At 54.8% G+C, this 10,550-nt stretch overlaps 3 pseudogenes across 1 annotated transcript; all 3 read right to left on the bottom strand.

Moving 5' to 3' along the window:
• CHRFAM7AP1 (CHRFAM7A pseudogene 1) lies at nucleotides 641-1,246 on the bottom strand (annotated as a pseudogene).
• Nucleotides 5,140-10,004, bottom strand: GOLGA2P3Y (GOLGA2 pseudogene 3 Y-linked; annotated as a pseudogene). Its single transcript, NR_002195.2, has 9 exons — nucleotides 9,962-10,004; nucleotides 9,697-9,775; nucleotides 8,226-8,577; nucleotides 7,872-7,929; nucleotides 6,441-6,515; nucleotides 5,932-6,020; nucleotides 5,488-5,676; nucleotides 5,306-5,398; nucleotides 5,140-5,223 (listed from the first exon to the last, which is right to left on the bottom strand). The product of NR_002195.2 is annotated as a GOLGA2 pseudogene 3 Y-linked (transcript).
• RN7SL725P (RNA, 7SL, cytoplasmic 725, pseudogene) lies at nucleotides 6,131-6,389 on the bottom strand (annotated as a pseudogene).
• Nucleotides 10,005-10,550: the final 546 nt, after the last annotated feature.

The following is a 10,550-nucleotide window of genomic DNA, read 5'->3' as shown; positions in this document are numbered from 1 at the left end:
GCCAGGCGTGGTGGCGGGCGCCCGTAATCCCAGCTACTCGGGAAGCTGAGGCAGGAGAATCGCTTGAACCCACGGACTGTCAAGAGATGGAGGCTGCAGTATGCCGAGATCGCCCCACTGCACTCCAGCCTGGGCGACAGAGTGAGGCTCCATCTCAAGAAGCTCCTGCCACCATGCCCGGCTAATTTTTGTATTTTTAGTAGAGACAGGGTTTTACCATGTTGGCCAGGCTGGTCTAGAACTCCTGACCTCAGGAGATCCAGCTACCTCAGTCTCCCATAGTGCTGGGATTACAGGAATGAGCACTGCACCCGGCCAAAAAAACGAAAATCTTAAAGGCCTTTCCCCTTCCCTCACTGGGCTCAAACAACAGCGGGAGCCACCCTGCCACGCCCCGTCGCGGTCCAGGGGAGCAGGCTAGCTGACTGAGGGCGATCATGGGCCCCAAAAGGGCTGCGGGCGACGCGGGCTCCCACCTCAGGGCGCAGCGACTGGGGCGAGAGGTGCCAGCAGCCCCCAAGCCAGCCCCGTGGCAAGGAGCCAGAGAGACGCGCCCTCCCCCTCCTCCCACGCAAGCCTCACGCAGCGGGGCGGGCCAGTCGCGGGAGAAAGGGGCGCGCTCGCCCCGCCTGGGGAACCGGGGCCTCTCCCGGGCAGGCTCCCCTTTGTCCCGGGACTCTGGGCGCCTCCTCTCCGCCCTCGCCCTGCCCCGTGAGGCCGCCACTGGGCGCCTCAACGTGATGTTGCAGTGGAGCATGAGCTGCGGCAGCGGCTCCTGGTTCTTGTGGAAGATAGAGTCCAACAACTTCAGCTTGGCCTTGAACCCTCACACGGACATTTTATTCTCACCTCTGGCAGGTGGGGCGCGAAGGTGAGCCCGTCGGGAGCCGCTGTGACGGCCGCAACCACCCGCGGGACCTCTCGGCGGTGCTCTCCCAGCTCCGCCTCTCCCTGCTGCCTCAACTCTAGTCACAGTAGGGCTGGAAAATGGCAAGGGGCACCAAGGCCTCTGCGGGGAGCTGTGTGGAGGCCTGGGCGGCTGCTCCCCTTCTAACAGACTCCACCGACAGGAGGCGCTGCTCCTGTCAAGCCGCAGCTTAAAAGGGCAACAGCACCACAGCCCCCGCTACCGCCTGGGAAAGGGCTGCCCCCAGCCTGCTCCCGTCCCTCTCGCCCCTCACACCCGTCACCCCTCACCCCTCAAACCGCGCGCCCCCTGCGCACCCGTTTCGGCGGCTGCAGGAGTCCAGAGCATGCGCCCGCTTCCGGCTGCCCCCTCCTCGCCTTGACCCAGCACTGTTGGACCCATCTGGTCCGTTCTTCACACTCGCGGACTGGAGGCTCCGGGCAGCACAACCACCAACCCGTGTGTGTGTTGGGGTGGGGGTGGAGGCAGAAAACCACCAACTCGTGTGTGTGTGTGTGTGTGTGTGTGTGTGTGTGTGTGTGTGTTTCCCAAGGGAACAGCACTGCTGAGTTCAGGCTATCTGCTCATGGACTGTCAGCAAAATACAGTCACAAGAAGGCTATGTGCTGTTTTGTCTCTTGCAGTGATGTCATGTTGCTCATGTTTTATGTTTTTCAGAGTTCATTAGTTTCTGTTTGCTCTCAGTTAATATCCAGCTCAATAGATTGTGTAAGTAGAATACCCCCAAACTGAAAGTCACCTACATAAAATATAGTGAAAAATATGTCACCCACTTACACTATAGTTGAAAATATGTACCCATTAGTTTTGTGTAGCCAACACTGGATAATGGGTAAGGGCAAAGGATCCCAGGGCTAGACTGCCTGGGTTCAAGTTCTGATTTCCTGCTGGCTGTGAAATACTTAACAGCGTTCAGCCTCTGTTTCTTTTCTTTTCTTTTTTTTTTGTTTAGCTTAATCCCAAATGTGATAGTAAGTCTCAGTTTCTTGATCTGAAAAACAGAAATTATTCAATGACAGTCTATGTGAAAACTTTAAAGTTTTCAAAGCCACTATCTAGCTTAGGAAAGTCCTCAGCTTTAGGGGTTAAAGTTTTTAAAACCACTGCCTGGTTCAGGAAAGCCCTCAGCTGTAGCCATTATTAGCTATGATGATTATTGTGCTGGCTACACATGCATTAATGAGGCAGGAAAATGCTGAAGGATAACAACCAAGTATCCAGATTATCTCATCAGACCGAGACAGATGCATATGAGTGCATGATCATGTTTTAGCTCAGATCCATTTGTCTAAAAGGCTCTTGAACCCAGGAGTATCAACTTTGCTTTGCAGTGGAGCCATCGCTTTTGTTAATCAATGAAATTGACATAACGATCTTCTTTTTTTTTCCTTTTTAGCACCAACCATGTGCCTAGAGCTAACTGTGTTAAGAACAGCATGCTTCAAGTGGCTGGAGTGAGCAATTCAACTTGTGGAGGAATGAGAAGTGATAGTGTTGAGACAAGCAACATAAAACCCGAGCGTAAGGTAGAAATCGCTGAAAGTCAGGCAAAGGAACTGGCATCCAGTAATAAGTCAGGCTTTGCCAGCCTCTAGCCCTACAGATGGCTCTTTGCAGAGGAAAAAATTAATCCAGGCCCAAGGGCACAGATCCTAAGGGAATGCTAGCAGCTCTAGGCTGTCTATGAGAGTCCAGAGATGCTGCTTCACCCTGGGGCTTTAGGCAAGTCCCTTTCCCTCCCAGAGCCTCAGCATCCCTTCTAGCAAATGACGTTCTGCCTTTCTCCTAGGATGGCTGTGGGGATCAAGGGAGACAGTGGCCATAGGGATACTATGTTAACTGCAGATGTGGCCGTAGGAGCACTTTGCTAACTGCCAACATGAGTTCAGACTCTTCAGGCTATTTGGCACCCAGGTCTATGGTGAGGTGTGACATATGGGATGCAAAGTTTGATGCCTGCTCCGACTCCAGTCTTGCTAACACACACGAAACCTTTGGCAAATCATGACCCTGCCTTGGGGAAAAGGGCAGTCTGGGAGAGTTTCTTCAAGGCAGCCTGGCTTCAATGCAGTCCGGGGCATGACTGAGATAGGCATACGTTGTGAGGAACTGGAGGGTAACTGGGTAAAGAGCTGCAGTGTGGGCAGAAGTGTAGTGTGGGTCACATTGAGGATAGCCACTGGCCAAAGCAGGGAACAGAGACAGAATGAGGAAGAGCTCTGTGGGGAGGGTGGGGCACCGGGTGGAGAACCTTCAAAGTCCAAAGAGTATGACTTGTTGGGATTCAATGCTGTAGGCAGTAGGGAGCCATGGAAGGCTCTTAGGTGGAGAAATGACAGCCGGACATTAGTGAGCAAGCCCTGTCTCCCTGAGCAGCATGGGTGGTCCTCTGAGCACGCCAGGCACGAGTGTGCAGGGAGCTGGTGCACATGCCTCTGTGTGCGGGTGAGCATCTGTGTTGTGACTCTGCCCACGCATGTACTTCAGTGTGCCGAGTGGCTGCACACCCCAGATCCATGCAGCACGTGCCGGCCGGTGAGGGTGCTGGGCACCGGGAGGTGGTGGGGAGGGCGACGTATGCGTGTTGTTTGTGGGCATGTGTGTTAGCGTGTGCATGCGGGCCGTGGGGCCTCACAGCATGTGTGTGCACACTCCGGCGTGTGCGTGTGTGTCCCCCACCCCCAGGCCTGCCCCTTCCCTCTGGAGCTGCAGACTTGCTCTTTCCTTTTTCTGTCCTTGTGCTGCTGGCTGTCTCACTTCCCTCCTTGTGAGCCATGGGACTCAGTGCCACTGCTCAAGGTCTCCATGGCTGAGCCTGGGGGCTCCATGCCCAACCTGGCAGACATGGAACCATCAGAGAGGGCACAGAGCTCATGGTTTATGGTGTAGGGGCTGGGAGCTTCGAGGGGGTTGTGTGAGGGGCTGGACTCAGGCGGCCAGAGACCTGGGAACATCATACTGGGCATGCCGTACCTGTCGTGTGGTCTGAGTCATGCTGCCAGGGCAGGGATCCAGCTCCCAGCCTGGGAGTGCTGAGAGCCAAATCCACTGCAGATTAGGGGTGGTAGTCAGGGTCCCACATCCTCTATTTGTCAGCAATTCAGTGGTGATCTAGGATAAAAGCCTGAGAGTCCTATACACATGGTCATCCCACAACACACTTCATAGGCCATGGAAGGACACACAGCCCCCTTCCCTCCCTACCAGGTACCATGATAGCTGCTAGCATGCGACTGAAGGCAGGGACCCTGGCCCCTGCTGAAGCACTACTGCTGGCCAGCAGGCTCATGCACCTTGGCCTGTTGCTTCTAGGGTTCGCCTGTGCTATTCAGCCAAGGGGACCACAGTGCATGCTGGCCCAGCTGAGCTCCGCCTAGAGAGCTCACTTCCCTTTCCTGCCATGGAGTCTTCCTCTTCTGCTTTTCCCAGCAGGAAGGGCCCAGCCTCACCTATGCAACCTGCAGCCCTCCACCAACCAGTTGAGGCTCCCCTGTTAGACTTAGAAGTCTATGGCCAATGGCATCAAGCTACCTGCCCTTCCTGCCTTCCCCTGGGTCCCTCAGAAGACCCTGGGCTTTCAGACGGCCCAGAGGGGCCTCTGGTACTCACTCCAGCCAGCCATCCCTTATAGCTTCACCATTTTGGTTCAAGCAGTGTTCCTTCTGTCAGGCTTGGTGGCTGTTGGGTGGGGCTCCCCAAGCAAGAGGTGGCCCTGGGCCAGTGGGTTGGAAGATGGTGACCAGAGAAGACGGAACCCTGAGGGGGTTGAGCATTGGTCTGAACTGTGGGTGGACTGCCTGGGTGCTGTGACAGCACCCTCCCTGTCCTCTCCTGGTGCAGCCTCCACGCTATCAGTGAGGCTCACCTCACAAAGATCTTCAGAGAGAGGGAGGGGAGTGGGAATCTGAGCACAGTGCGAGCCTCCCCTGTTCCTGCCTGCCCACCCCGCCTGAGGGCTCTACTCACCACCCTGCTTGTCAGCACACCCAAGCTCCTGGGCGATTGGGGCTCCTAGAGTGGGCTTATCAGCAGTGTTCTGGGCAATGGTCAGAATTTGCCATGCTGCTCATTGTGGTCGCCCACAAGCTGCAACACCTGCCCCTGCAGCTCCAGCAGGTTCACCTGGAGGAAGGGGTGTTAGCTGTCATGCCGGTGCCAGCACCGACATTCACTCCCACCCCCACAGAGATGTTGCACACCCTACCTTCATCTCCTCCTGGTCCTGGGCCAGCCTGACGATGTCCTCCTCTCCCAGTGCTGCGTCTTTGGCACTGCCCCCTGGCTGATGTACTTTCCTGCAGGAGGACACGGCTCAGATGCTGGGGCCCCTCAGATGGCCCTGCAGCTCCCCCTGCCATGCCCTGGCCTCTCGTTTACTCATGGTGTCTGTCTGTCCTGAGAGGTGGATGAACTGAAGCTCTAGTTTCTCCACCAGCTCCTTCAGGTCCATCTTCTCCTTCCATAAAGTTGCTGTGGAGCCAAAATAATGGGGTCACATGTCAGGAGTCACCTGCCTTGTCCCGACCCCACCCTTGTTGGCCCATGCCAGGACTACTCACCTGCAGCTTCTCCATGGCCTCCTGCAGGGCCCAGTGGGTGTCCCCACACACAGATTCACCCCCAGTCTCTGGGGCTGGGGCCGCTGCCTCTGGCTTTTTCTGGGATGAGGCCACTGGGTGAGCCAGGGGCTGGCAGCACACGCTTTGCTCCTCCTGGGCACTGGCTCCAGCGGAGTTGAAAAATGCCACCTGAAGGCAAGAGGTGAGTACTCTTGTAGGGGTATACACATAACAACCAGGGCAGGGAGATGGAGCACAGCCCCTTCCTTTTGGGCCTCACAGAGTGCACCTGTTGGTCACAGGTGAAATGGTGTCTGACCACTGGCTCCCGGAAGGAGAGAAAGTCCACAGAAGTCAGAAGGCAGGGAAACCAAGAACATAAGGGGGTTTCAGAGGGACTACAGAGGAAGGTGGCAAAGTAGGGGCAGGGAAAGTCAGGCTCACCATGGCCTCCCGGCTCTCCAGGTCCCCTGGAATGTTCAGCATGGGCCGAGGTGCCTCCTCCTCATTGTCCAGATGTCCTCCTCCATATCCTGTGGGAGGTGGCCAGAGGGGTCCTCAGACAACCCAACAAGGGAGGTACAGTGGGCCCACCTCTGCCCCTACACTCACTGTGTAACCTTGAGCCAGCCCCTCCCCAGAGGGGAATGCGCTGTTCTTTATTTTTAAGAACCAAAATCTTGCTATATTGCCCAGGCACAGTCCCACTACCGACTGGTGCAGGAATTCTGACCTGCTCCCTTTCTGACCTGGGCCAGTTCTCCCATCCTTAGGCAACCCGATGGCCCCGCTCCCAGGAGGTCACCATACTGATACCGAACTTAGTACGGACACCCAGTTGGCATAATGACCAGCTGTCTTAAAGGTCTCTTCCAACTCCTCAATCCTACGCTGCTAACAGTCCCCCTTTCCTCCTGGGGCTCTCTCCTCTTCCTCTGAGTGGTCTCCCATACCTTCCCCAGGGAGAGCCATGAGGCTCAACTGGGCTTTAGCTGCTGTTTCTGCTGGCTGGTAGCTTCCAGGTTCTCCTAAGGGGCCAGGAAAGAGGGTGAGAAGGTACAGAGGTTGCCAGGTTGTCCCTCTTGGAGCCCTGTCCTCAACAACTCCCTCCCCTGGGTCTCCTGCAACTTTTGGTGGGCCATCTTAGCCACCGCTTTGCCCTGAGCTTCCTCCTGCTGCAGCTGGTCCATGAGCCAGGTCTGCAGCAGTAACTGCCTGTGCAGCACCTCCTTCTCAGAGGCCAGCTGCTGATAAGCAGCCACCTGCTACTAAGCGACCACGAACTGCTGCAGGTGACACAGGTACTGGTCTTGCTGCTGCTGTGGACTCTGAGCCTCTTGGCTCTTCAGCTCCACGTGCAGGAAGACGCTGGGCATGAGGGCATGTGGTGGCTGGCTTCCAGATTCCTGGCCCATTAATAGGGTAGCAAGGACACTGTGGGGCTCTGTGGCCTGCTCAGTCCCCTGGCCCCTTGCTCCAGGCCTACGAGACTGCCTCCTTTGCCTAGAACCCCATGCCTCCTTCCACAGCCTCAAATCTCATGTCTTTTTTCCCAGCATTTAAACTGTAGGCGACAGACTGGTGGAAAAGCAGGGGGAGCCAACCACCATCTGCTAAGTGTGCCACATACCTAATGTTTCCACGTATCATCTCATTTAATCCTCAGCACCTCCACAAGGAAAAGGCTAACTTCCTTTTGAAGTTAAACAGAGACTTAGAGATGCAAAGTAGTTGAATTATGACCAGTGGAACCGAGGCCGCAATCCACTTTCAATCTAAGGAGTCTGGTTTTTCTGTTTTGTTTTGTTTTGAGACAGTGTCACTCTGTGTCTCAGGCTAGAATGCAGTGCTGAAATCTCAGCTCACTGCAATCTTCACCTCCCGGGCTCAAGTGATTCTCGTGTCTCAGTCTCCTGAGTAGCTGGGATTACAGGCATGCACCACCAGGTCCACTAATTATTATTATTATTTTTTTAATTTTAGTAGAGATGAGGTTTTGCCATGTTGGCCATGCTGATCTCAAATTCCTGACCTCAAGTAATTGTCCCACCTCAGCCTCCCAAAGTGCTGGGATTACAGGTGTGAGCCACCACACCTCACCAAGGAGCCTCTTATACCACTGTCTCTTCCTCTGTGATTGGGGGGCTCCATGCCTCTAGCTGGGATGATGATGTCCAGACCTGGGAGGAGCCCAGGGCTACCCACCTCTAAACGTCAGAGGGCAGGAAGCAAGAAACAGTCATAGGACTACCCTGGAGGGTGCTGGGGTCACCTGTCCTCAGGCTGCAGCTGCCTCTGTCCTGGCACCTCCCCTTCCCAGAGGCTGGTGACTGCCTCCCAACCATTATTAGATGGGTCAGAGGTTACCGTCTCTTTCAGCTCACCAAGCTTCAGCTCCTTTACTTGCCGCTCCAACTGCAGTGCACTCTTGTTCTCATTATTCTGGACAGAGAGAAGCAATCAGTGGCCACCCACTAAAACTGGAGACCCCAGAACTTGGTGTCTGCCTCCCATGGCACCAGGAAGGGTGGAGGCAGGTTAGAAAAATCATACCCTCTCCCACAGCCATCAGAGCAGGGCTCTGGCTCACAGGTGCCTTTAGAAGTACCATTTCATATGAAGGCCACAATGCCCCATTTTACAGGTGGGGAAACAAAGGCCTTGAGGGCTAGGGAAGAGGGCAGCCTCCCCACCTTGAGGGCTAGGGAAGAGGGCAGCCTCCCCAGGTGGGGCAACACACCAGCTCCTCAAAGCTGCTGTGGGGCTCGGCCTGCTGCTTGTAGAGGGCTTCCCACTCCAGCTCCAGCATCCTCTCCAGCTCCCACAGAGTCTCCTGCTGCCACAGCCTCTCATCCTGCTCCTGAAGCCTCTCCTGTTCCAGCAGCTCCTACCCCTTGTCCAGCAGCCTCTCCTGTTCCTGCAGCCTCTCCTCCTGTCTCCTGTTCAGGAGACTCAACATCTGATTGTTTTCCACCTCAGCCTGGAGCTGTCTTCCCACACTCTCCAGCTCCTTCCTTAGGTGGTTGGTCTCATCTTGTAGCTGCTCCACCTCAGAGGGCCCTGCTGGGGGCTCTGGGGCCAGGGGTTCAGCTGAGAAAGGAAGCAGACAATAAGGGCCTCTGGACTCTCAAAAAAAAAAAAAAAAAAAAAACCTCCCTTTGTTGGACAGCTCCTCCTCTCAGGCTTCCCAAACTTGGCCTCACTGCTAATGACTCCTCACACCCGGATGGTAGCCAATCTTCAAAGTCACTTTCAGATAGAGAGCACTGTGGGTGGCTGACAATGGGCACTCCTCCCTCTTTACTGATAGGGACACTGAGGTTCATGGAGATGACAAGACTTGCCATCTCCTGGCACAGACCTCTTTCCCTCTGCCTCAAAGCCCTTCCATCCACCCTCCTCCCTGGGGCATTCTAAGTCACCCTCACAGCCCTCTGATGCCAGTCCTGCTCCTAGGTCATGCCAGTCCCATCTTAACCATCTGGTTTTTGAGTTTGAACAAGTTCCTCCCAAGCTTCTGTACCCAATGTATCTCATGCTGCTTCCCCTCTTTCAATGCGTGGACCTGCCCAAAGCACAGAGGGGAAAGGGCCCTGGAGAGGGGCTGCTGAACCTCTAGAGACAGAGTTTGAGAAAGTCCCACCCCCCTTCTGCCACCTTGTGATTGAGAAAGGTGCATTCATTCAACAAACATTTACTGAGCACGTACAATTCTTCATAGCAGAGATATAAGACAGCAAAGGACAGACAGGAGCCCTTGGCCCTGAGGTTTCCATTCTAGGGGCCTTTAAATCTCAGAGCTAACAGTGACCTTTGATACTCTCTACCTCCTCCAGAAACATGAGCCTAAGGAGGAGAGATGGCTTGTCCAGACTCAAAAAGCAAATTAGGGGCTGAGGCAGGGCAGAAATACGGGCCTCTGACAACCAGTCAGGCTAGTGCTTCCCTGAGAGATGACAACCCCAGGGCATGTGTGGCAACAACTAGAGCAAGGGTGTCTGGAGAAGAGAGAGTCAGCAAAGAGGGCAGTGCAGAAGAGCCATGCTGCATGTTCTGTGCTCTGGGGTCCCTCCAGGTGAGGCCTGGGTGCCCCAGCTCCCCATTTGCCCTTGGCATCAGGGGCTCCTGGCCCCTTTCTTCAGGGCACCAAGGGAAAACTGGAGTCCAGGATTGACCAGCTGGAATCAGGGGACCCCACTGGACTCTTACCAGTGAATTGATGTTTTCACTGAGTTGACTGATTATTGCGGAGCTTGAGTGCAGGGCCACTGCTAGTTCTCGGTACTGGCTGTGAGGTGCATGCAGAGAGGAGGAGTTGGAGGAAGATTGTGGGGAGGGGTAGAGAGAACAATCATTAGGGCTGGTGGAGGGTGTGGGTTGTCTCAGCTGGCAGAGGGGCAACAAGCCCCTGCTGTGGGAGGAGGTTGGAGGGCTGGCCTGCAGGGTCACTGCACCTCAGCCCAGGGCCTCTTACCTCCAGATCCTCCAGGGTAGCAGATGATGCATGGCCTTCCCCGTAGATACCTGTTGCTGACTGCAAGAGATGAGAGTGCACATGGAGATGTTCTGTCCCCCCTCACTGTCTAAGCCCTCTGATTTCCTTTCTTCCCCATCAACTGGCAAAAGCTTCTTTTCTGCCTATCTTGGACCCTTTGTCCCATAACTCCTTTGTGCCAACTTCTCTCATGGTTCTTATCTCCCCACCATCCCACCCTGGGGCCCTTTCAGTGACTCCTAAAGGGACAGCCTGATGGCAAGTGTCTCTTCTCATTAACTGGCTTCCCCTTGAGACTGGGGATGAGGAAAATCAAACAACAACCATTTCCTGGGTGTCCTGGGTGTTTACAGCAGGCCATGTACTAAGGATTCACATATAAGCAATAACAAATCTGATTTAAACTTCACAAATGGAAGTCAAAAATACCACCTCTATTATGCAGATGTGAAAACAGAGACCCAAAGACCTCAAGCAACTTGCCCTAAATCATATGCTAATCAATCCCTAATCAATCATTAGCAGACGGAGAGGCAGGATTCAAACCCAGAATTCTTAACCAGTACCC

This window comes from Homo sapiens, chromosome Y (assembly GCF_000001405.40).
Source record: "Homo sapiens chromosome Y, GRCh38.p14 Primary Assembly".
NCBI classification, from domain to species: domain Eukaryota; kingdom Metazoa; phylum Chordata; class Mammalia; order Primates; family Hominidae; genus Homo; species Homo sapiens.
The sequence above is the reverse complement of the archived record's forward strand: the minus strand, read 5'-3'. Positions and strand labels throughout refer to the sequence as shown.